This window comes from Homo sapiens, chromosome 21 (genome assembly GCF_000001405.40).
Source record: "Homo sapiens chromosome 21, GRCh38.p14 Primary Assembly".
Lineage (NCBI taxonomy): Eukaryota > Metazoa > Chordata > Mammalia > Primates > Hominidae > Homo > Homo sapiens.
The window spans coordinates 34,850,383-34,876,454 of NC_000021.9; the positions used below are offsets into that span (position 1 = coordinate 34,850,383).

The following is a 26,072-nucleotide window of genomic DNA, read 5'->3' on the forward strand; positions in this document are numbered from 1 at the left end:
CCATGTTTATGTGCTTGCAAAGCTTGGCTGCGGGGAGAGATCCCAGGCACGCTTGGGAGACACACTGCATTTGCCTAGTACAAGAATTCCGACCCCAAGACACCTGCTACATTACACGTCACGTTTCTAGGACAGTGTGGAGACTTCTGCAGCTGTGTCATGCCTCTACTGAACAGGACCCATGTGTTAGATCTTAAGCACTGATGTTTGATGTCACCCACACGTGACTTTTCTTTCTGACTTTTTCACAAAGTGCAACATTTGGGGGCAAGGCCATTTCACCCGTTAGTGACTTAGGAACAGTGCCCAGAGTGTTTCCAGGGCCCATGCTATACTAGAAAAGAAATTTTACTGGGTCTCAACACAAAACGAAATCCAGAAAAATAAATCAAAATTTATAAATGTTTAATTAAATGTAAAAAAAAAAGTGTACCATTATGGCAACTTCATGAATTTTTAAATTTAGGAGCCACAGATCTTTTTTGGTTAAAGTTTTCTCATTTCCAGAAGGATTTCAAGACTAAATCTGAATTATACCTGTCCTCTTTTGAGTATGTATTGTGTGCCAGGCATGGTTCTAAGCCACAGAGGCTGCTGCATTCAGCCTTCCAGTGATGTGACGGTGGTACTACCAACTGTCCCCGTTTTGGAGAGGCTCAGTCAGACCAGCTGCTCCCCCAGGAATCGGCTCTCATAGTGTTAGCAAGTGCCAAAATGGAGACCTCAACCCCTAGTCTTGATTACATGTTGGTGGCAGAGAAGGCAGGGCAGCCACTTACAGCCAGAGAATTTCAGAACAAATTAGAAAGCCCTTTAAAAACTTTACAGCAAAAAAACGACGTCTATCTCATGTACCACCTGAGTGCATGTGGATTTGCCTGATGTGATTTAGGATGGCACTGCCCAGGGAAGGCCTGGAGGCCTCGGCCTCTAAGGGGCCAGTTTACGGGAACGAACTTACGGCTTTATTTTGCTGACCATATTTTGTTACCCTTTTTGCATGAGAACTAATTTAGAGATTATCTCGTCCCATTGCCTGGTTCAACAGGAGAGGAAAATGAAGACGAAAGTATTTAAGATAATTGCTCAAGTTCACACCCACTGGCCTGGTGGCACCAGTGTGAAAACCCAGGTCCCTAAATTCAGGATCCAGAAAACTTTTTACATGTTTGAAGCTTAAGAAACAGAAGCCTAAATGCAGACAGGGTTTTTTTTTTCTTATGGCATGTCATACAATGAATTCTAACAAGGACTGCAATATATTAGTTTAGATCCTGACCTCACTGGTGTGGCATTCAAATTAGTGATATGGTTTTGCGAGGGTCCAGACGGAAAGAGAAATTCAATGTAATGGTGTAAGTTTCTTCCCTCTTCTCTGCTCCCACATTGGATTGAGAAGGTGCCTAGATCATCTCTTTGGGTTTTCACATTACCTGGAAGGAACTCTTATTTTGTTTTCTTTCTATAGCAATACAAATGCCATCTTAGAAAATCTCAGTGGTGGCCAAGCACAGTGGCTCATGCCTTTAATCCCAGCACTTTGGGAGGCCAAGGCGGGTGGATCAGCTGAGGTCAGGAGATGGAGACCATCCTGGCTAACACAGTGAAACCCCATCTCTACTAAAAATACAAAAAATTAGCCGGGCGTGGTGGCACACACCTGTAGTCCCAGCTACTCGGGAGGCTGAGGCAGGAAAATTGCTTGAACCCAGGAGGTGGAGGTTGCAGTGAGCTGAGATGGCGCCACTGCACTCCAGCCTGGGCGAAAGAGCAAGACTCTGTCTCAAAAAACAAAACAAAACAAAACAAAACAAAACAACAACCACACACAAAAAACCTCAGTGGTTTCTGTATAAGACAGGAAAAGTTACCAAGAATACACAGGCCACGCCAGCTCACTCAGAGCTGCACCAGGTGGGTTACTGCCGCTTCTGGGACAGAAGCCCATTCCCTTCACGGTCCTCTTAGGTTCCCATTCACCCCAGGGGCCCTTTCAGACCTTAACCTCCACTCTAGGGTCAAGGAAGTCTGTATGCATGTAAAATTCTTCTTCTTGGACTGGTTTGATACTACTAAAAATATTCAACAGAAAGACATTCTAAAATTCGCTGGAAACATTTAGGCACGATTATTATTAATGCTTTAAAAACTGCCTTTGCCAAGTCATCAGGTAGTTGAGGAGCTTAACACAGAAGGAATTAAAAGTACCAGGGGGAAGTTCCCCCAGAACTTTCAGCTTGGCCTGAAATGCCTTTCAAAGTGGGGAGGAGGGGATGTGAGTCACGACAGCATTTTCCTCCTCTTTGAGCCTCTGCCTTGCTCCTGCTTTAGGTGGGAGGGGAGGAAGAATTACTTTCTAATTCCTGTGTGGATCAGGATTGCATCTAGAAAGAACTAAAGTCCAAGTCCAAATCTGATGAATTCAAGGGAAGAGGAATTAAGTAGCTCATCATTCACTACCTGGAAAATACGCTTGAAGCAATTCCCAGTGAGCAATGCGATTGTGGATTGGTAATTACAATCCTGAGATCACAGATCCATAAAACCATCTGACATTTTCATAATCATTCAAGAGCAAAGAGTGACACATCTTTTCATCCCCCCGGCGGCTACGTGCTGTGCACACGGGCCCTCCACGAAACCCTTTGTTAAAGGGGGACCCAGACTTGGACCACTACTCTGCAGGTCACTCCACTTTACCCATCTTTCGTGAAGGCCAACACCGGAAGAAGAGGTCTATGTTGTACAACACCCCGGGGTCAGGTCCCCCTTCATGCCAGGTCCCCAAGTGGACCCTGGTGACAGAAGCAGAACCAACTGCTGGCACCTGTGACCAGCATGGCCATGGCTGTGTATTATGAACTCTGGGGAGGTGTGGGAGGGGAGGGTACTTCCTGCAGCCCTGCCGGGGAAAACACTGATTCCCTCCTGTCAGTACAAAAAAAATGATGAATGCCAAAGCAACAGGGCTCTGCTTTCTTGAAGAAAACTGTATGTGACCCAGAACTTTACTGATAAACTCTCCCAATAAAAAATACAGGAATTACATTACCATGAAGCTCAAAAAGCGGCCAGTGCAGTTCTTAAAAACAGACCCTGGCATCGGTGCGTGCCAGCATCTGGACGCCTTAGTTTACATGCTGGCTTACTAGTTGCGTGACTTTGGGCAAGGTATACGATTTATTTTTTCTTCAATTTCCCTGCCTGTTCTTTTGAAGATTATATAAATTAATATGCGTGAAGCACTGTGAACAGTGTTGGGCAAATAACACTATTTAATGTTAGCTATTGCTATTATCGAGTATTTTTATGATTAAGAGAAAATAACAATGTGAACTAGGTGTTACTCAATCCTAAGAGCAATTATTTTTAGGTCCATTATCACCACCAGTTTACAGGTTGGTTCCTTCCCTTCCTTCCCTTCCTTCCTTCATTTTTTTTTTTTTTTGAGACAAGGTCTCACTCTGTCACCCAGGCTGGAGTACAGTGGCACCATCTCGGCTCACTGCAACTTCCGCCTCCTGGGTTCAACCGATTCTCCTGCCTCAGCCTCCTGAGGAGCTGGGACTACAGGCGTGTACCACCACACCAGGCCGATTTTTGTATTTTCTGGTAGAGATGGGGTTTTCCTGTGTTGGCCAGGCTGGTCTCCAACTCCTGACCTCAAGTGAGCCGCCCGCATTGGCCTCCCAAAGTGCTGGGATTACAGGCGGGAGCCACTGCGCCTGGCCCATAGGTACTTTTCATGCATTTCTCTTCTTCACTTGAAGCACATTCTCCATATATAAAGATCCTATTTCTCATGTTCACATATATAATAGGTTTGCTATACACACTCAAAGTCATAGAAGAATTATACTCATATGACATGATCTCAACCAAGTACTTTAAAAAGTAGCTGAGTGAAGATTAGGCCCTTTGATCAACCTATTTTAACTATAACTCCCTCTAAAAACAAAAATCAGACAGAAAGAAAGCTAGTGCCTCAGGAAGCACTCTACAGTTTGTAAGTAATGGCTCCACCTTACCATCTCTATGAAAAAAATTAAAAAATTAGCCGGGCATGGTGGTGGATGCCTATAATCCCAACTACTCAGGAGGCTGAGGCAGGAGACTCGCTAGAACCTGGAAGGCGGAGGTTGCAGTGAGCCAAGATCGCACCACTGCACTCCAGCATGGGCAACAGAGTGAGATTTCACCTCAAAAAAAAAAGAAAAAAAAAAAGAAAAAAGAAAGCTGCACATTTTACCTTACTCCCTAGCTGCCCTCTAAGCCAGTATCCCAGATGTCACCTGATGTATGGATGCTAGAAGCCCCACCCTTAAACAGACCACATCACAAGACTCTACGTTAACAGCCTGGTCCTCAAGGACGGGCTGCCCAGAGAGCAGAGGCAACGCTGCCTCCACCCAAAAGGAATCCCGTGAGCTCTAGACATGGTCATCCTTGCCTGTGAGGAGGGGGGCAGCTGCAGAGGCCTGTCCTTCCCTCCAGGTTTGTACTTCCCGGCATCTGCTGGGTTACACCTTTCCAAAATTACAGCCAGCTCTTTCACTTTTAAAATAGAAATAACTATATTTAATTAAACAAACAAACAAAAAAATCAAGAGCTCAAGCAGAACACAGTCACGTGAAAGACTCCTTTAACCTGGGGACAGACAGAAGTTATCTCAGAAATGGCCAATACGTTAATTAACCTTTTTGATTTTTAATTTAGTTTCTCAATGTTCCAGACGTAACAAACACCTGACCAGACAGGTAAAGGCTGCCCAATCCATACCACCAGGACCAGCCCCCCAAGACGGGTCAGTTAGGGTCCCCACTGCTCACTCTCCTCAACCTCTCCTTGGCAAAATATCTTCCTCCATGGCATTGAACCAATTCCTGCATTGAAATTATTTAATGAAATCTCTGTAGAGAAGATGCTTTGGGATCTCAATATTAGCATAGAGACACCTAAATTACAGATTTGTGAGCTGAGAGCTGGAGTTTTTCATTAGATCCTAGAAATATAAAACATACATTAAAAAAACAACTCTCAGCCATTCGTAGTAGCTCATGCCTGCAATCCCAGCACTTTGGGAAGCCAAGGTGGGCAGATCACTTGAGGTCAGGAGTTCGAGACCAGGCTGGCCAACATGGTGAAACCCCGTCTCTACTAAAAATACAAAAATTAGCTGGGAGTGGTTGTGGGCATCTGTAGTCCCAGCTCCTCCAGAGGCTGAGGCGGGAGAATCGCTTGAACCTGGGAGTGGGGCAGAGGTTGCAGTGAGCCGAGATTGTGCCACTGCACCCCAGCCTGGGCAACAGAGTGAGACTCTGTCTCAAAAACAAACAAACAAACAAACAAAAAACTCTCAAATATCCTTTTCTTGAAAAATCCTTTCGCTCTATCTTTTGTGCTTAAGGAGGAGACACTCTCAGTATATCAACAAGCTACTAAGTGCTCTACGTGCTAACCGAAAACAGAGCCCACCTTGGTGCTGGTAAGAACCCATTCCAGGCAGAGGATACCTTTTGATGGTGCTCTTGCTCCATGATAAAGTTAATTTTTCAACAATTAATAATTTCTATATTACTCTAAGATATTTCTTAAAATCCTATGGAATATGAGAAAAACAAGTTTTGATTTTCTAAGGGGCAGGTCCATTACTGTAAAAGAGCAAGAAACCATCTGAAACGAAAAACACTTTAAATTCCCTTTGGCGTATACTTTTGGCTACAGCTTCACCACTGAAAACCCTGGAAGAGGGGAGGGATGCATCAAGTTTACCCGTCGGCATGAAAAACAGACGAGCTGTGGCACAGCTTCTCATTCTCAGTCCTTAACTTAGTCAGCGGAATGGCAGGTTGAATGGCAGTTTGTCCCTCCAAATGCCAGATAACTGCTTTATTTAGTTAAGCTTGCACGCATACCTCAAGTCAAAGGCTCCACACCTGCAATGAGGCACTACCATTTGCCCTTCTATAATAGACAGTCTTCGAGATGAGCCAAATATGCCAGCCAATCATATAAGCCAACTCCTCATTTTAAATGTGAGGATACCGAGGCCAGGTCAAAGAGTCTATAAGAAAGAAATAGATGATGTACAGACAGTATGGTATGGATAGAGAGATGAACAGATGAATGGACAGGTAGATAAATGAAGGACAGCACAGAAGTAGACATCAGGAACTCCTCATTCTGTTAACGCTTCATCATCAACTATCTCTTTTAAAGCTAGGCAAACCGTTTCATTTTTCTGGGGCTATTTTCCCTTACCTATGGGGTGATGATCCTAAAGGCTCTTCTCAGGCCCCTCCTAGCTCTCATTGTCTTTGATTTTATGAAACTAGAGAATTTTCCAAAATGATTCAATTTGACCTTGGCAATGCCAGGGCCATTTTGCCAGGATTTCCCAGAATTCATTGCACCATAATCATGGAGGGGACTCGGGAGGTCTTATTCATCCAGAGATCTGGCAACATCTGGGCATCCTGATTTACATGCAGTGTCCTCTCTTTATGTTACACTGGAAAGCAACTGTGAGCAAAGCTTACTATAGAAAGTTCCCACCCTGAATGAAGACGTTCAAACCATAAGAAACCAGCATACTAAAATTAGCAGTGATGGCCCCTCTTGCTTCACAGGGCAAATAGAAAAGTCAGCATTACCCAAGTCAACCTGGGAGTCTGCATGCACTTGGCTTTTTTCTAGAAGTCCCTTGTAAAATGTGAGACTTTCTACCTGGGGCTATTGCACCTCTATATATCATACTTATACTTATTCCACGCATTTAGTTTTTCCCCAGGCCCCAAATTCCATTTGGCAGGGAAGACTGTGTAAAAATGGATGCTTCTTTGGCGCAAATCCCTTCTGTCTGCTCAGAGGGTGCTTCTCCATATAACAACTGTTTTCTTAAGTTGTAAAACAGCAGGGGCAGAGTAAACTGTATATACAGCCAGACCGTTACAATCGCATAGACATCTTTTTTCCCCTCTGACTGCCAATTCTTAAAAGTCAGAGTCGCCACCATTTGTTTTCTGAAGCTCAATAACTTTGTTATTTCTTTGAATGTTACAGGAAATGCTGGCAGTGAGGCAAAACCCAGCCTTCTTTATGCATGAGGAAATAAGAGAAGTAGAGGGTATACCCAGGGTCACCTGGCTTCGGCTTCTTCAGGCTGGTCGGCATTTCAACTGTCCCAGAGACGGCTGTTGCTTCTAGTTCTAAATACAGTGGTTCTACAGCCTCCTGAAGGAGCATTTCTCTAAGTTTAGTCACCCTCAAAGTCGATTTTCTTATACCTAACAACTGCCTCCCTCCCAGCCAGGCCCCTTGCCATAATTCAAGCCTGCTTCCTCTTTGGTCCTCTGTGGAGAACAAACTTGCTTTGGTGTTTATGTTCTGTTTAATGCAGGGTTACATTAACGTAGGAATGTCCAGGTTGACATTCCTACTCTGGAAACCTAAGAAGAGCTCACAGTCATTCCTTAGACCTGTGTGGTCCTGTCTGTGTCTATGGCCTGCTTTTCACTCATAAAGAAGAATCAGGGTCTGTTATCAAGTCCCACAGTCTCCCAAGTCTAGGCATGGCCAGAAAGTCTCGATCAGAAAAAGCTGAGAGGGCCCTCTGGGGAAAAATGCAGTCAGATCTGGAGGGAGTCACCGAGCACAGCAAATGGAAGGAAGGGAAAAAGCAGACGAGGAACACCATATCCTGGTGGCCTGCCCCTGGTGGGCATGGTGATTATTTGCAGAGCTCCATCCACTCAAGGACTTTGGGAAAGTTGATGCAGCTTGGGGAATGGTTCCAGAAGGTGACCCAGATGCCATGAGGTTGTGGCCAGGACCACAGGGAAGGCTGCCATAAAAGCTGCCGTGATCACAGGATAGCCTGCAGAGAACTACCTTAAAACCCCACCTAGAAACCACCATGCAGGGAAGGTCATCTAGAGGGGACTGGAGCAGTAGCCAGGGATGAAAGCAGGGATGCCCTACTGGGGATCACTAACATTTCCTGCCTTCATTCTCTGCATCAGGCACACAGCATCATTTGGCTTGATCTTATAAAGAAGCTCTCATTATTATCCCCATTTTACAGAAGAGGAAAGTGAGGTTCAGCAAGGCTCTGTAGCTCACTGAAGGCTTAAGAATTCCACTGGCTTGCCCATAAAGCCCAAATTCTTAACCACTTCATTTTACAACCTGACCTCCCTGCATCTTGGCTTTTGGGGACAGTAGGAAGCCCTGTTTTTCAATATCCCTCACTCCAAGAAGAGAGTATATTAATTTTCCACCAGGGACCTGATACGGTTTGGAGACATCTGGATGCTGGGCGGGGGTGCTGGGCAGTTCCACAGACCTGGAACTGTAACCCAGCCTCAGATCCTGGGGAAGGGTGTGGTTCTGGAAAAGAGCGTTACTCTGGTGTTTACTCAAAGATAGTCATTAAGTCACTGTGAAGACATCTTTTCTGCAGACTAAACAACCTCACTCATTTTTTTAAAAGCTTCCCTCACAGGAGTTATTTTTTGGTACTATCTTTCTATATTTACTGGTTTTCCCCAGACATTCTTCTACCCTCCCACTCTCTATCTTAAAAATGCCTGTAATAAGATTTTGATCTGTGCCATAGAAAGAAAAGGGTCATTTTCATAGTTTTCATCTCTGGCCCTCATGAATTAATAAAAGGCCAGCATAGACGGTAATTACTCCCTTGTGGTCCACTCTGACCCTCAGACCTCTTTGGGCTGCCTCTGTGCCTGGCCAATCTTCCATTTACTATTTGTTTCTGATCCTGTTGAACTTTACTGTATATTGAGGAAGCAGTCCTTAGTTTCATGCTGCCCTGAATGGTTCTAACATATGATTCAGTCAGCCTAATTTCCTTTTGCCCTCTAAAAGGATGCTTCAAAAAGAGCTCAGTGCACAGAAACAAGCTTTGAGTAGCGAGAGTATTGACAATGCAACTTTTTGGCTTTACGGGGGCCTGACATCCCCCTGGGGGAAAGGTTGAACCCAAGGAATCTGAGACATGGTCCCTGAGTATACCAGCCTGGAGGGTGTACCAGCCTGGAGGGTGTACCAGCCCCAAGTGGATGCACTTACTTCGAGGTTCTCGGGGCCCATCCACTGTGATTTTGATGGCTCTGTGGTAGGTGGCGACTTGCGGTGGGTTTGTGAAGACAGTGATGGTCAGAGTGAAGCTTTTCCCTGTGGGGACACGATAGAGAACAAAACAGAATGAGGTTGGTGGCCTGAACATATCTGTTGAATAACCAATCATTAATTTATGCTGTCCAGCCCTTCAGCACAAGTTACCAGTTTTGACAACACTCCCGGAATTTTGGCTTTGCTTCAATTCTGGAATACACACCTATGATAGTTGCCTAAGTGTAACACTTCACATAGTTATATGGCTTTAATGTAATCATCAATAAACAATACAAGATCAAGAAAGATTAGAATTTATTTTCTGTTAAGTCAGGATTTCCGGAAACCATAGAGTCAGATTGGCAGCTCTCCACTTCTGGTTCCCAACTTCCCTGCTCCCATCTTTCCCAATTATTTATAATTCAGGGCAAATAAGAGTAGAAGAAACCATATCCATCTTTCTCTTCTTACTTTGTACCTTTGAAGATCAGGAAAGATAGAATTTCTAAGTTTGAAAACAGGCTAAATTAGAATCATTCTGTCTATATTTTTAAAAGACGAAGTCTGGCTGATTTTAAATATTATTTGAAAATGCCAGATGTTATTAGAGGTACTCATGGGATCAGTCAGAATAAAATTGATGACTCATAAATGGACTTAAGTATATGTAACTGACAGACTGAGATTCAATAAGTACTAGTAATAAAAAATGCACAAAATTTCCATTACACATTTTACATATATTTATAAAAGGTGAGAAAATCTTCATTGCATAGATTTACTAATCTAAAAACATTTCTTGTTGGTAAAGTGATTCAGAAGATAAATCTGGCTAGCTGACCTTTGGCAAGTCACTAGACACCTCTATGTTCCTCAGTATCCTTACCAGGAAGATGGTTACATGCAAATTTTCCTACCTTAGAGAGTTTTAGGGGAGATTAAATGATTTACCGTGAGTAACCCTGTTAAAACAGTTATCTGGCACACGGTATTCAACAGGGTGTGTCTGTGCGTGTGTGTGTGTGTGTGTGTGTATGTTGTCTGCTTTATTTCTCTTCTCTGTTTCTCACGGGTCTATAATAGGACCCTAACATTTGATTAAGTCTGATGTTCAATCTTCCTACATCAATACAGTAGTTCTTTAATCAACATAGTTTCTCCTCTTAATCATGTAGCATAAAGTAAATCAAAGACAGATGAAAGGAAAATATTTTCAATTGTCACACATGTCTTAATACAAAGGAAGGCCACAGAAAAACAAATGTCATGCGTGTCTTAATACAAAGGAAGGCCACAGAAAAATGCTCAATGAAAATATAATCTTTGGCCACAGCAAGCCACGATTCCTAATCGTGAGAAATCTCCACCGAACACTCCCCAAAGATGTGGATTCTATCTGTATTAAAGTCTATAATAAAAAGAGCAATAGCAAGTAACAATTAGATGATGAAGGCTGCTCTGCCCATTGTGCCTTTATAACTAAAGTCTCAGCTGACCTGTCCAATAAACGAGGTGAGGATGCTTCTGGGGAGTGACTTCCATGGAGCAGAGCATCAGGGATGCCAGGAGACTCTGCCTCCAAATCCATCTTTCCCATCAACTGGCCTGTCCCCAGAACCTAGAGACGAGTCTTGTTGGCCTTTGGGGATTTGCCAGTTTTAGGACATCGTTCAGATGTTATCAGGCGACACTCTGGATGCTTTCCTACCGTGGCATCTAGCTGAAGGAGAGGACTGGGTAGAAGAGGCCTTGGCCAGGCCCAGCAAGCAGGGTATGTGATGTGATGTGGAGGAAGATGCTGCCGCAGAGGGAGGCAGGTCCTGGGGGCAACTGCCCATCTCACTGGGCAGTCTCTGGCTTTCCAAGAACAGATCCAGGAGCAATGACAGCCACAGACGGGGAGCAGCCACATCCACATGTTCCAGAGCTGACTAACAGATTGTCCTACAAGCCTCATGGTCAGCCTGTTCCCTCTCTGTCAAGAACCCATGAAGGTTATCACCTGTATCATCAAGACTGAACTCCAGAACCTGCTTTTAGGATCTTCTCACTAATAAGACCCTGCCCCAAGTAATTTCTCACTCACCCCCTCTCCTCCGCATACCTGACTCCCAGTGTGCACCCTCCGAGTTCTACCCATGAGCCATGGCATTGAGATGCTGAGGTCTTCCTTCCTCCAGCCACTTCGCCAATCCAAGGCTCCTTGCTGCACCCTTCACCCGAGTCTTCCTGCCCTTCAGCATCTGGCAACGGGCAGTCACTCAGTCACTTGTTTTCCAGGCAGCCTTCCTTGATGACTACATTTTGCTTTATGGCTGTTTGGGCTGCCTCATAAATCATCCTTCACCTTTGATTATTTAGGGTGTCATACTGAATGCAGTTTGCGGCTGTGTAGACCTAGTCTCCCAGAAGGTGGGGACCCTTTTCTATATACCCATGTAGCCCTCACAGAAAGGTGGGAAAGGGTGCAAGTGGGAAGGGGCTTTAGGAGAGAGGGGGTATTTAAAATTAAAAAAAAAAAAGTCCCTTGAGGACACAACAATAGATAATGCCATTGTCCCAGTCCTGAGTAGGTCTAGGGGTGCATGTGGGTGTATGAGAGAGAGAGAGAGAGAGACTGAGGTGGTTCTTTCAGCAAGAGAGTTACAAGTTTGGGGATGCAATACAAACGATTTTACCTCTCCAGATCTCAGTTTCCTCATCAGCAAAATGAGGGGGGTTCATGGGATGCATGCAATGTCCCTTTCAACTCTCTGATTTCATCTTCCAAGAATGCAGCTGGCCTGAGATGCCCATAGCCATGTGCAGGCGGGCAGGTCCACGTGTGATTCTTCTGTTGCCTACAACTCTAGCACCTCAGTGACTTCATAAAAATACTGTATTTGTTTCCTGGGGCTGCTGTAATAAATTATCACAAACTGGGTGGCTTACAACAATAGAAATTAAGACTTTCACAATTCTGGAAGTCAGAAGTCCCAAATCAAGGTGGCAGCAGGGCCACACTCCCCCTGAGGGCTCTAGGGAGGATCCTTGCCTCTTTCTCGCTTCGGATGGTGGCCAGCATTTCTTGGCGTTTCCTGACTTGCAGCTGCAGCACTCTAGCCTCTGCCTCCATCTTCACATGACTGTCTTCCTACTGGGTGTCCCCTCCCTCTTCTTAGAAGGACATCAGTCATTGGACTTATGGCCCACCCAAGTCCAGTATGACTTTATCTCGATTACACCTGTAAAGACCTTAAGCCATATTTTAAGGTTCTAGGTGGACATACACTTTTTGGAGAACACTATTTAACTCAGTACAAATAGCAATGTAGTAAGAGCTCCCATCATGGCTCTACCAGTGACAACTGCTCTACAGGCACGCGTGTGTTTTACCCTCTGGAACAGTCTTGCTCCGATAGTGGCTCTCCTACCACCACGCTATCCACGACTACCCAAATGACAACAAAGAATGGTTGCATTCATAATACTGGCATTTTTAAGTCGTGTAGAACTTACAACTTTTTAAACACCTTCCCATATACTATTTCATTTGGTCCTCACACCAATCTCATGAAATAAACAAGATGGATTTTATTGTTCTTGATGAATAGGTAGCAAAGCTAAGGCCCAGAAAGGTTAAGTAATTTTCCCAAAGTCACACAGCTTTGATATACAGCAAAACTCATATCCCTGAGCTTTCTACTCACTGTTCTTCCGGTTATTATCCCTGAGGTCATAAATCTCCACCCGCAAACCCAATAGCACCAGTACAAGAAATCTGGACTGGAGATACTTTATCCACACCTACCACTGCCCCAAAAAGTAAAATCTGACTCTGTGATTCTAATGTACCAATGGTACTCAACCTGGGTTATAGCTCAAAAGCATTTTCTTACTGAGCTGCGTTTGGGCCTCTGGCAGTTGAGCACTCATGACACCCCATCTGGTAAACCACAGACTAACCTATATAATCAGGAGTAAAACTTAATCAAAGTGATAATTTGTGAAATGAATGGTCATTATCTGAATTCTCATTATTTCATGCCCATCTTTTTTTTTTTTTTTTTTTTTTGAGATGGAGTCTTGCACTGTCTCCTGGGCTGGAGTGCAATGGCGTGATCTCGGCTCACTGCAACCTCTGCCTCCCGGGTTCAAGCGATTCTCCTGCCTCAGCCTCCCGAGTAGCTGGGATTACATGTGCATACCACCACACCCAGCTAATTTTTTGTATTTTTAGTAGAGATGGGGTTTCACTATGTCAGCCATGCTGGTCTCGAACTCCTGACATTGTGATCCGCCCACCTTGGCCTCCCAATCATGCCCTTCATTTTAAGCACAGTCACAAGACATTTCCACCGAGCACACACTAGTAGGTGGGGCGTTTTGGCCAGTCATGTGGTTCTCCCTCACAAAGGGCTCTTGTTTACAGCTTTGGGTACAAGGACATTTGCTTATTATCTTACAGACACAGTGATGACTTCTTCACAGGTGTAGGTGACATTTTTCCACAGCACGAAAACTGCCTTACACGTCCTTTGTATTCTTCCAATGAGACCCAGCAGAGCCTTGATACTGGGCTGCAGTCAGCAACGGGCGCACCTGACAGGAGCCACATGCTCTGCCCTCCACGTGGCCCTGCCCTCTCTGTGGCCCCACCCCATGGCGGCTGGGACACAGCCCTTCTTGGCCAGCATCTGCAGAAGTAGGATCTGTGCCTCGGGGCACACGTGTTATGAGCCAAATTCCCTCATTGAAATGACCTATAGGCCTGGTATTTTAAGTACATGGGTGTGGAGCACAAAAGACTCTCAAGTGTTTCTCCCAGCGAGCTGCAGCCGGAATAGTGAGAAATCACAGGAGAGCAAGGGAGGGCAGGTTGGCTAAATAGCAACGGCCCCAAAATGGGCTTTTCAGGACCCAGTGCAGGGGTGGAAGGATGGGGCTGCTGCCGAGAGGGCCGGTGTTTCTGTTGGCAGCCTGGAGGATCCAAGGCTCCCTGAAGCACTCACTGGCCTTGGTCTGGTGAGGCCAGCAGAGGCTTTGGTCAGTGCACAGATGGCCCCAGCACTGATCCTGTGTGTGCTGCTGGAAGTCGGCAGCTCTTGGTTCCAGAGGGGGCCACCACGGGGTCACAGGGTGGCCTGCATGGAAGGAAGCCAAGGAAAGGGGTAAACAAGGGGTAAACACCAAGTCCTTCCTCCTGCTCACTGAACCCTGACCACCACAGCAGCATCAGTTCCAGCCAGGGCTTGGGTTCCAGGAGGACCATTAGAAGACCATTAGAAGCACCAAACGACACTCATACTGAATAAGAAGGTGAGAACAAAAAACAACAGGGCAGATGAGGTTTGTCTTGATGTAGGCTTGGAAGCAGTGAGAGAGAAGAATTCCATATAAAATCCCATGAAGGTGGAAACACAGTGGTGATTCATTCAGTGTGGACTCTCAAGGCAACCTACTTAGGTTCAAAACCTCGCTCTGCCACTTGCTAGCTGTGTGACCTCAGGCAAGTTACTTGACCTCTCTGGGGCCTCAGCTTTGTCATCTGTAAAAGGGGGTTAATAACAGTCATTCCATCTCGTAGCATTGTTCTGCAGGTTAAATGGAATGCTGAATATACAAGCAGAGCACAGGGAAAGGTCTCAGTAAATGTCAGTGGAATGATCATTAAAGACATGATAAAGGTGATTCCACAAAGACCAGAGCTGTGACAGATCCCGTAAGAAGGAGCTGGGGATGAAGTAGGCACTGACGTCTGACATGAGGAGGGGTTTTGTGCGTGTGTGTGTGTGTGTGTGTGTGTGTGTGTGTGTGTGTGTGTGTGTTCAGCAGGTGATGGGGCTGCTACCAGGCCTAAACGCAACTTGAACTTCAAGTTCAAGTTCACTCCTGCCCCGCCAGCTGGCGACCTTTGTAAGGCACAACTGTGAGTGGCTGATATGCTATGTAAACAAGCCAGGCCAGTGCTCCTCACTGCAACATGTGTTGTCTCCCTCGACGCCAGTGTGTCCATCCAAATGCCAGGGCAAAATACTAACTGCTTTATTTAGTTGGGAAGAAGGTCAAGGGGTGAGTCTTCCTGGACACTCGCTGCCATGACACACTCCCCAGGGCCAGTCAGCGGGGAGGCCCCAGGTCTAGGCTTGATTAGTCTTGACGTTGGCGGCCCTGGGGCTGGTGAACTCTGACAGCCAATTGTGGTCAAATAAAGCCACGGCTGGAACCTGCAGTTCCGCATGGCCCAGCGCACTCTCCACTTCCTCACCACATCTGGGAAGTGGCTAAACCTCAGGATTGCTTCAAATGTGCACACTGCTCCCCAAAGAGCTGAGGGTGGCAAGGAGATTACAAAGCAAAAAGACATGCAGCTCGGGGTCATTTCTTGCCTAGGTGTGAAGAACATATTTAAAAGTGCATCCAGGCCACATCAGAGCAGAATCCTCCTATAACACCCCGTGTCTGACGGGCGAGCCCCGACTCCTGTTGTGACTCGGCCTCCTCAGGTCTAGTTTGCAGGTATCCCCGGTCTACCTGAGTTGGCTCTGCAGCAGACTCTGTTCCTGTCACTCTCCTTAGTGTAGGTCTGTAAGCATGAGTCATCTTCTTCTTTTGGGGACAGTTTCAGGGGATGTGAAACTTGCCCTTTGTCACGCAAAGGAAGGCTGCAGACACAAAGGAGCCGTCTGCCCTGGGGGCTCAGAGTCCTTAGGAAACACAATCGCAACATTTTTCACTCTTGTGTTTGTCTGCAGGAAAGCCAGTTGTGCCCAGAGTCTTGAAACGCCCAAAGAGTGAGAAAGGAAAAATAAAAGAAAAACATCGCAGCTTTTAAAAACCAAGAGAGTCAGTGAAGGCTCAGGTTCTGCTCTTTGCAAATTCAGGAAATCCCACAAGATCCTGAAAGGTTGCAGGGAGATTTCTCCTTTTACAATAGATGGCTTTGGGTCTAATTTTAATTGCGGATAACTAAGTATAAAAATTAACGTACCCTCGGATTCCAGGAGTAGTCTGCATTTGGAGTATTTTTTATGAAGTATTTTTAATTTTGATTTCTCACTTTTCCACTGGAACAACCTAACAGCCAAAATTCATGCTTATGCTCCTCTTCCATTTCCTTACCCAAACATTTGCCACTATTTTTGACAGTGGAGTTGTATAATTAATTTATTTGGGGATTTCTGGACGGGATACAAATCCTTCAACTTGCACATAATTTCCTGATTCTCCATGCTGAATTGAATTAAGATGTCGGCGTACTGTATATACTTGTGTGCAAAGTGCCTGTATTTGCAGATTGCTTGATCCAATCGCACTCACATCACACATGCAAAATGCAGACTTGAGGCCTAAGCTACTGGCACCAGGACTACCCTCAAAAGTCAGACTGAAAATCAGGTCCTTAGAATATAGAACTCAGTTTTCCATGGAAATGGCATTTGTTTGGAATTATGGATTGTTTGAAAAATAGCTGTTTTACTTGGAGAAAACCGAAGACATGCAAAGCATTTTCTCTGGAGATGTTCTATGAAAATGAGTTGTTTGAGGACAGGGACAGAATTTTATTCATCTTTGTATCTTCTATTCTGAGGCAATAAAGAAAAGTTTGATAAATGAGGCCAGGCATGGTGGCACATGCCTGTAATCCCAGCACTTTGGGAGGCCAAGACGGGAGGATCACTAGAGCTCAGGAGTTCAAGACCAGTCTGGGCAGCTTGGTGAAACCCCATTGCTACCAAAAATATAAAAAATAAAATAAAATAAAATAAAAATAAAAAATAAAATAAAATAAATTAGCTGGGCATGGTGGCACACATTTGCAGTCCCAGCTACTTGGGAGGCTGAGGCACAAGAATCACTTGAACCCAGGAGGCGGAGGTTGCAGTGAGCCGAGATCACGCCACTGCACTCCAGCCTGGGTGACAGAGTAAGACCCTGTCTCTAAAAATCAATGAATCACTCTGCAAACTTTCAGTTTGACAGCCAGTCCTTTACAACGTCGAATTTCACTTGGAAGGCATAGCTTGCTTTTTCCAAGGCACAGGTATGCTGGGCTCAACTGCAGGCAGGGGAAAAGCTCAGGTTTGCAAAAGGAGTGGAGGGGCGGGCCTCTTTATTTGGCAGAATATCACCTATCCCACAAAACACCATGATGTTCTCATGCAATCTTGCATTTCCTTTCCTGAGATTTCATTTTCCCTTTCTAATCTTCCTTTTCCTTTTGATACCACAGTTCCCTAGGATCTCAGCTGGGGAACCAAGTTTTAACCAAAACACCCCAAAACCCTGAATTCGCAGCCCCCTGGAGACCAAGGCCACACCTGCTGCCCTGTGCTTCCCCCAAGGACAGCCACCAGATTTACCAGTCTTCACTCATCCATCAGGCTGTGTGTTTGGGCTGGGGTCACACAGGGCAAGTGACCAAAGTGACCTCCTGGGCCTGGCCTCCTCCTGATTCCGATAGTGCCCCTAGCCGGGTGCCTCAAACACACAGCCCAAGGCCACACAGAGCTGCAGCTGGGAGGCCTGAGGCATGGACATTCTTCAGGGAAGGAAGGCTTGGGGGGCGTCAGCTCCTGCTCACCAGCCTTGCAGCACTTGCCACTGCAGGTAGGAAGAAAGGCAGGTGAGTGTGGAGGTAGAGAGGGAAGAGAGGGAAGCTTGAGGCAAGCTTGAGGAGGGAGCTGACTTCTAGGTACAGTGCCATCTACCAAATGGGGTCCTTGCAAGCTGGATATACACATGCCTGGCGCTGCTTGAAAGGAGAAAGGAGAGCTTTCAGTCTCTGGATGGGTCTCTAAGCTCCCCACGCACCCTCCAAATGTCCTTTCCATTCTTTAAACTGTAAGCCAAGTATCTTTCCACAATTTGTATCTGGAGTTAGTTATAAGTGGTTCTCCATTTCATTAGGATCAGACCAAATTCCCAACGTGGATGTTAAGGCAATCCCCGCCCTATCTCTCTGTAAGGCTCCCCGCCATCACTCCCCAACCACCGCCACTGGAGCATCTCTCAGCTCCCAACAGGCCAGGTGCTCCTTCCTCACTCTGCTTTCTCTGCTGGGACATGATTCTTCATGCCTCCACCGGGTTAGTCTCCTTGTCACCTGCAGGTCTCAAGTGAATGACAAGTGGTCCAGGGAGACCCTCTGAACCTTCACCAGGTTCTGTACCTCTGAGCCTTGGCTCCCGCCACACCCATCTATCATGTGTTATCTACTCACAACAGGGATGGCCTACTTAATTGCCATGTTCCTTACTAGCCCCCAAGGCTGTGGGTTCTCTTTGGCTGACCGTCGTATTTCTCATGCTAGCCCAGTTCCTGGCACACAGTAGGTGCACAATGTATATCTGATAAATGAATGAATGAAAGAAATGCCCTTAGTAAATGACCTTGGGGGGTGGGGCAGAGGGAGAGTTCTAATAAAACAGGAATAGGTACTATATTTCCATCACAGGGTCAATGCCCAATAAAAGTTTGTAATTATATTATTATTACATAGGCTTTTACTTGTGAATACTTATGGAATGCCTGCTGTTATCTCATGCACTCTCATTTTAGTAGGCCCTTAGCAGGACCAAGGAATATAAATTCCTTGCCATCGAGGAGTGGGCCCTGAAAAACAGCATCATTCCCAACTTTTCAAATTCAGCAAGACCCATGCTGCCTCTGGCTTGCTCTCTCCCCTCCTCCCTCAGGGATTCTCGCTGTAGAAGGAAGAACATCATCAAGAGGGGCCCTAGCTCTTCTTCCTAAGTATAGTTACATACACACCATCTCGCTTTTATCATCCTAACATAGATGATATAAGTCATAGATGAAAGGCACTCTTAAACCTATTGAACACAGATGGGGAGACTGAGGCTGGCACATCTGAGTCCTACAGGTGTGCCCTCTTCTCATATTACATTATGCTACTTTTCTAGGACTCACAGAATCATCGCTAATAGATGTGTGTGTTTTCTATGTCATCATTACGAATCAAAGGAATATTAAATAGGACACAATGGGTTCGGTGTAATCTAGAGTTCAGGGATTTGGCCAGAATGCAAGATAATAGTGTAGTAAGAACCCTTCCAAGTGACAGCCAGATGAACCAGTGCTGAGTTTATACGTGGCCAAAAGAGAAAAATATGCATGGATGTTCACTTGCAGTTTATGAAAATGCTGAGACACAACCTTAAGAATGGCTTCCAGCGGAACATCCGGAAGTCCTCAAGTAGTCCAAGGCGAGCTGCCGTGGCACTGCTACAAAACCCCTTCAACTTGGGTGGAGGCAGCAATGATCACTCAGGAAGAATGTGATGCTGCCAGGTGCCAGCCTGTGTAACCCAGCGACAGGACAAAGGGATTATTCTGCTTCATTATTAAAATGAAGTGTTTACTGTTAAAATACGATTGGGAATTAAAAGGGGCACATATGAATCATAAATATTTGCATGCCATTAATGTTTGGACAAAAGAGTTGGAAAGGCTGAGTTGGGAGAACTTCTTTTCCCATGAAAAGCAGTGCTTCAAATTACAGTACATATTTAATTTCGTTTCTCCTATTGCTAACAGGAATCTCAGGGCCTGCCGCATATAACCCTTTCACGACCACAGAACCGTATGGGGCCCTGAAATAAGGATAAGGATTGTGTTTCCTCCTTGGAAGCTCACCCATTTAGACAAACAAAAAAAGCAGACCTCTGGTTGTTGTTGCTGTTTGCTGTTGTTTGCTATGCACTCACAGAGTCCCCATTGTCTGCCCCATGGTGTTGGTGTCACTGCAAAAAGTAACAACTCCTAACCTATGTCTTGTCTCAGGTAATCAATCCTCATTGTCCCTCTGTCTTCCCACAGACAAGGGCAAAATCAGGCTTAGACAGGTCAAGTAGCTTGTTCAAGGACAGATAGCTCCAAGCCAGTGGTTCTCAACCAGGGGCGATTTGCCCCCAGGGGACATGACGCAATGGCTTCAGAGATTTCTGGTTGTCACAACCAGGAGGGTGGGTGCTAGTAGCCCCTGAGTAGAGGCCAGGGGTGCTGTTAAATGTTCAACCATGCACAGGAAAGCCACTCACAGCAAAGAATAACTGGCCCTAAATGTCAGCAACACCCAAGTTGAAACACAGTGGGGAAGCCAGTAAAGTCCACGTGCTGACCACTAGGCTGTACTGCCTAACATCAAAACAGTCCTGGGCCCAGCACAGTGGCTCATGCCTGTAATCCCAGCACTTTGGGAGGCCGAGGCAGGCAGATCACGAGGTCAAGAGATCGAGACCATCCTGGCCAGCGTGATGAAACCCCGTCTCTATGAAAAATACAAAAATTATCCAGGCGTGGTGGTGCAAGCCTGTAATCCCAGCTACTTGGGAGGCTGAGGCAGGAGGATTGCTTGAACACAGGAGGCGGAGGCTGCAGTGAGCTGAGATCACGACACTGCATTCCAGCCTGGTGACAGGGCGAGACTCCATCTCAAAAAAAAACAAAAACAAAAAAACAAACAGTCCTGAACAGTCATTCATTCACAGACCATGTATCAGGCATCATCTAATGTCACTCATGATACCACCTGGAGCTTTCTAGTTAAAGGCTGGATCTCTTGATTTTGGAAAATTCCTGTGAGCCCACTTCCTCGGGGCTCCTGAGCACATCTTCCTTTCCACAGTGCTTGGGTCTCCGTTCCTACACACACCCTTGCATGCCACAGCTGTTTTCAAGCTTTTTCCCCAGTGACCTTCTCTCTAGAGCACACCTACAGCAACTCGTGAGCTCTGTGCAGTCCCTGGCTCAGACACCGTCCACGAACTCCCATTTGGATAGTTAATGCTTACTAGTCACAGATTACATGACACACAAGTGATCTCTGTCGAATCTAGGAGCGTTGCTCTACTGTAGGGAGCTTAAAGGAAGCAGATGTATACACGGAGAAGGAAAATTAGGCGTGAGGGTCCCCATGCAGCACAAAAGCAAGGAAACGGACAAACAAACAAAGCAGACACAGCCTGACCTATTCCAGAAACTCAACCTGCAGCAGGCTCTACCTTGATGCACTGGGAACACCTAGGGGAGTCTCCCTACGGATTTTTGTTTTCAAATCATCGTGCCCTGAATCTCAGTGTAAAAACCGGTGATGGCAAAACTGACATGCTGGGGCAGGTGGGATAAAGCTCCAGAGGAACCCAGCCATCTGTCTGCGGGTGGCATCTGCAAGCCCATCCTGTGGGCGGCAAACCCACAAACCTTGGTCCTGTCTCCCCTCCTGCCACGTAGTGCCTTCATTTTTATTTAGGGTATGCAGACTGAGCCATTTTGGTGTCTGGGAGTTGTCTGTCAGTGACACACACCAAGACCTTGCTTTTATCACTTTTTTTTTTTTTTTTAGACGGAGTCTTGCTCTGTCACCCAGGCTGGAGCGCAGTGGCATAATCTCGGCTCACTGCAACCTCCGCCTCCCTGGTTCAAGCAATTTTCCTGCCTCAGCCTTCAGAGCAGCTGGGATTACAGGTATGTGCCACCACTCCTGGCTAATTTTTGTATTTTTAGTAGAGATGGGGTTTCACCACGTTGGCCAAGCTGGTCTCAAACTCCTGACCTCAGATGATCCTCCTGCCTTGGCCTCCTAAAGTGCTGGGATTACAGGTGTGAGCCAGCATGCCCGGCTCTTTATCACTTTTTTAATATGAGTGGACACTGTCCACTGACATCAATTCCCATTCCTAGATCAGTGGCTCCATGGACTCTCTGCTGAAGTATTCAGGGAAAAGCAGTGAGCCTCTGGCAGAGGGCTTCCTAGTTTCTGCAGTCCTCGTGGACCTCACCTGTGTGACATTCATGAGGGGGTGGCTACAGTGGGGAGCCTTCTCGGAGAAGCTGCCCTGCTGTGTGTACCACCCCCACCTGCAGCCACTCCTCCAGCCACTGCACATCCCTGACCCAGGATAGCAGGCAGGGTCAGTGGCGCCAGGGGGATGGTGCAATTCTATGCATACAGAACACTGCTGTTTTCCCTTTAAAAAAAACTTTTAATATTCAGTGATGTTCTCTATTTTTTATTCTGTGCAATGTTTTAAAAATAAGTTTTTCATAAAATTTAAAATAAGTTTTTCATACATTTTGATAAGTTTGTAGGGAGGCAGAATGTCAGAATAAAAGGGGCAAGGGAAACATTTTACAACCTATGCATGATCAGGGCGAGATCACGCATGACTGGAGCTAGATGAGTTTCTCAATCTCAGCACAACTGACATTTGGGTCTTTGTTGGGGAGGCTGTCAGGTTCATGGTAGGACGTTTAGTAGATCCCTGGCCTCTACTTACTAGATGCCACCGGCACTCCCCAACCCAATACACGACCACCAAAAATGTCTGCAGATATTGCCAAATGTCTTCTGGGAGTCAAATCACCCCAGCTGGGAAACACTGAGCAAGATTATGATCAAAATTGATAAGCAGGGAGACAAGATACTGATAATAAACTGCCCAGTGGTTTCAGATAGAATAATGAAGGCAGGACATTTGTCCTAGGTACTAGAGACACACCATTTAAAGAGGCAGACAAAGCCTTATTATGATGTGAGTTAGACTAGCTCCTTACTAATTATAGATAGATAGAAAGATAGATGATTAATACTGACTATCCTCTATACAATAGTTTCAAATAGAATGAAGGAAAAAAATCTGTAAAGACCCCAACCCAATGCCTTGAGCAAACTGGAGTGTTTCCACCTCCAGAGATCTGATGAGCACACAGATGACCAATTATGCTCAATCTGCCCATATTCCTGTGATTTACCTTGGTTTGCATACGGTGACTCAATTAGGGCCATACACCACCCCAGAGTGCTGGCCAGCCCTCCTATTAACTGGACAGGCACGTCCTTGGGATAGGTGATGGGGGAGGTGGGGTAGTTCTGCAGATGGCCCTGCCCATACATTCTTAATGATGGTCTTAAATCTCAAGGTAAAAGCCCAAATTAATCTAAGTTGAGAAATAAACAGGAAATGTACTTACATCTTCTTTGAGAAAAACACAGTTTAAATGGCTCCTAAATGAATGCTTCCTCACTAAGGAAATCAGAGGAAACGCATTTTCAGTCTAGCAGCAGAATGGCCGTGAGCCTCTCAAAGGAAGTTGCTGGGATTCCTCTATGGACCTCAACTGCCTGACACCTTCATTGGAGAACGTTCGGTGATGTCAAATGGAGCTCCTGAATGGGACATGCTGCCCAATATAGACTAACAGGGACTGGGCAATGTACTGGAATCCCAAATCAGTGCAGTGCAAACTGAATGCCGTCGATTGCTCTGTCTTCAACAGAGATCAAAATACATCTCCGTTGAATGTAGGACTCACAGCAGAACCAATGATGGAGTATGCGCGCTGCCTGAAGTCCAGGAATGCATGTTTATAAATACAGACGTTGAAGTGCTGCGATCTGTCCCCATGCCCCGCCAGGGAGCCGACAAAACGAGCGCATGTCATAGTATTCATAGGCAGCTCATTAAATCCACACTGCTCACTTATTAATTTCCATTAATTGCTTTATTTGGGCTTTAGATGAGAAGATGTTATTAGCATGAATTTAGTCCTCAAAGATAATTTGGCCCAAGAAGTCTCTCAATGGAAGTATGGATATTCTCATTCTCTCTCTCTCTCTCTCTCTCCCCCTTGCACACACGCACACACACACGCACACACACTCCACTGGCTAAGAATCAATGAAGCCTTCAAAAGCATACACTCTCCCCATATTGACAGTATATGATTATTCATAAACATCTCTTTACTGATCTGAACTTGTGTCATAATCATCTACAGAAAGAAAACAGCCTTAAGACAGTACACCGGCCAGGTACGGTGGCTCACGACTGTAATCCCAGCACTTTGGGAGGCCAAGGCAGGTGGACCACCCGAGATCAGGAGTTCAAGACCAGCCCAGTCAACATGGTGAAACCTCGTCTCTACTAAAAATACAAAATTAGCCAGGCGTGGTGGTGGATGCCTGTAATCCCCAGCTACTTGGGAGGCCGAGGTAGGAGAATCGCTTGAACCTGGGAGGTGGAGGTTGCAGTGAGCTGAGATCACACCACTGCACTCCAGCCTAGGCAACAAGAGGGAAACTCTGTCTCAAAAAAAAAAAAAAAAAAAAAAAAAGACAGTACACCATCTCTCCTTGTCAACAAGTAATTTTTCCTTAAAAAAAAAACAACAAAAAAACCAGAAACACAGAATATGTTCTTCTTTAGCCAACCTTCTCCACCCTCTCTTGCCCCTTGCCAACCAGCACAAAAAAGAAAATACAAAACTGATTTATTAGAACCAGAGCAGGGTTGCAGCCGTTGGCTGGATCACTGTTTATGTCTATAATGCTTGTTGCTGAAACAGGAAGCTCTAAAAATCACTCAACCATTATTTCTCTTGCAGGCACTTTCTGATTGATAGTCTTCTGTCCCGACCAAAAAGAAATGCCTCCACCAAACACAAGCCGGCTGGCAAGGAAGGGGTTGAGGGTGGGTGGAGAGAAGTACAGCTTCTGCCCATCAAACTATAAAATATTGTTCATACAAATAACCTCAATTTAAAAAAGCTGTGTGACGCCATCAGCAATGCCTGACACTTCACAAAATCAGCAAGAAAACTATGAAGGGATCAACTGCGAAACTGCCTGTTGCAAGCACAAGCAGTTTTCAAGAAAGCTTTTCCTGCTGGTCCTTGCCATGACTGGGCCACCCCAGGCTTTAAGCAGGGCAGGGAGCAACTTGCTTTAGGAAAGTGTTGCTATCCTTTTATTGGCAAATGTGAAACCGAAATGAGAAACTTGGTCTCTAGAGATGAATTCTACATCAGATCATGGAGGCAAGCTTTTGACCTGCCCGTCGAAAAGCAGCATTTGTTAGGGCTGGTTGAGGCTTGGTATATCAGAGACTGGGTCTTTATTCATCTATATTTGCTTGCAATGAGATCTGAATACAGATTTCAGTATATATATTATTTTAAAGTGTAGATCAGTATGTAACAGAAGAAAGTGGGAAAATGGGAGAGTTGATTTTAATATAACTCATGTCTTTTCCTTATATTCTCTCCAGGAGATCTGACTGCCAGTTTATACCATGAACATTACCCGTGAAACAACTCTGGGGTGGTCAGATGAATTTTTCCTTCTTCTATTATATGAATCTGTTAATAGAATAGAGAAGGACTGGGATCCTACGATAATACTGCGAGTCATTCAGATCATCTCTTGGTAACAACCGCTACATAAAGCCAAGCCATGTCTCTTTGTTTAGAATATCAGTACCGTTTATCCTTCCCTAAATGTACCTTCCCTTCCTCTTGACCACAGTCTTCCACTCACCTGAAGGGCAACCTCCCACACTTTAGCCCAAATAATGTAGAATAATTTAAGAATGAAAATGCCTTAAGCAACTAACATTACACAAATATGCAATAACCCAGATTGTGACAGGATAAATATTATGTCTGGGAAGATATTCACAGCAAGAACATACCGAAGGAATTTCATTGTATAAATGTGTTGGGAAAGGATACTATTTTGAAAGTGGGCAAGATTAAAGCTGCCAGGGAGGTCAATGTAAACACAAATTCCGCCAAGAAACTCAACGCCATCCTGACAGGCCACAGAACACTTGGCCTTACAGGGCTGGGTGTGGACACAGTACGAGGGAAGCGACTGTCCTTTCAATGACAGAATAGGCCCCCTCCCCTTTACCCGTGATGATATGTGGGCATACCTGATGGCCATCCAAAGGCCTGGCCAGTGGTTTCAAGGAGATCTACTTTCTTAATTAGACAAACCAGACCCCGGCGATAACAAAAACACAGGTGTTACCAAAACAGCACAGGTTCAAGAAAATGTCTAGCTCATTTGTACATGTATTTATTCATTTTCAGGTGTCTACTATATGCGGCATAGGGCTAAGCTGGCCCTCCATGATCAATGCAAAGTTCCAAA

The 26,072-nt window shown here is 45.5% G+C and overlaps 1 protein-coding gene and 1 long non-coding RNA gene across 18 annotated transcripts in view, besides 5 other annotated features; one reads left to right on the plus strand and one right to left on the minus strand.

Moving 5' to 3' along the window:
* RUNX1 (RUNX family transcription factor 1) overlaps nucleotides 1-26,072 on the minus strand; it is a 261,502-nt gene that overhangs the window by 62,582 nt on the left and 172,848 nt on the right. For all 17 annotated transcript variants that reach the window (XM_011529768.3, XM_011529767.3, XM_005261069.5 and 14 more), the window contains one exon: nucleotides 9,092-9,196. In XM_011529768.3, coding sequence (XP_011528070.1) covers nucleotides 9,092-9,196 — 105 coding nt within the window. The remainder of the gene's footprint in view (nucleotides 1-9,091; nucleotides 9,197-26,072) is intronic.
* RUNX1-AS1 (RUNX1 antisense RNA 1) overlaps nucleotides 1-26,072 on the plus strand; it is a 48,740-nt gene that overhangs the window by 14,070 nt on the left and 8,598 nt on the right. The gene's annotated exons all lie outside the window — the stretch shown is intronic.
* Nucleotides 14,918-16,117: an enhancer, noted in NCBI's record as "P300/CBP strongly-dependent group 1 enhancer chr21:36237597-36238796 (GRCh37/hg19 assembly coordinates)". NCBI's record gives its function as "activates an origin of replication core promoter dependent on BRD2, BRD4, P300/CBP, MED14 and CDK7 cofactors, with strong dependence on P300/CBP, by STARR-seq in HCT116 cells {active_cell/tissue: HCT116}" and the evidence as "EXISTENCE:reporter gene assay evidence [ECO:0000049][PMID:35650434]".
* Nucleotides 15,388-15,557: an enhancer, noted in NCBI's record as "active region_18402". NCBI's record gives its function as "activates an Ori minimal core promoter by ATAC-STARR-seq in GM12878 lymphoblastoid cells {active_cell/tissue: GM12878}" and the evidence as "EXISTENCE:reporter gene assay evidence [ECO:0000049][PMID:35858748]".
* Nucleotides 15,598-15,877: an enhancer, noted in NCBI's record as "active region_18403". NCBI's record gives its function as "activates an Ori minimal core promoter by ATAC-STARR-seq in GM12878 lymphoblastoid cells {active_cell/tissue: GM12878}" and the evidence as "EXISTENCE:reporter gene assay evidence [ECO:0000049][PMID:35858748]".
* Nucleotides 16,858-17,525: an enhancer, noted in NCBI's record as "H3K27ac-H3K4me1 hESC enhancer chr21:36239537-36240204 (GRCh37/hg19 assembly coordinates)". NCBI's record gives its function as "activates a minimal SCP1, AML or CMV promoter by ChIP-STARR-seq in naive H9 embryonic stem cells {active_cell/tissue: H9 hESC(naive)}" and the evidence as "EXISTENCE:reporter gene assay evidence [ECO:0000049][PMID:30033119]".
* Nucleotides 17,526-18,191: an enhancer, noted in NCBI's record as "H3K27ac-H3K4me1 hESC enhancer chr21:36240205-36240870 (GRCh37/hg19 assembly coordinates)". NCBI's record gives its function as "activates a minimal SCP1, AML or CMV promoter by ChIP-STARR-seq in naive H9 embryonic stem cells {active_cell/tissue: H9 hESC(naive)}" and the evidence as "EXISTENCE:reporter gene assay evidence [ECO:0000049][PMID:30033119]".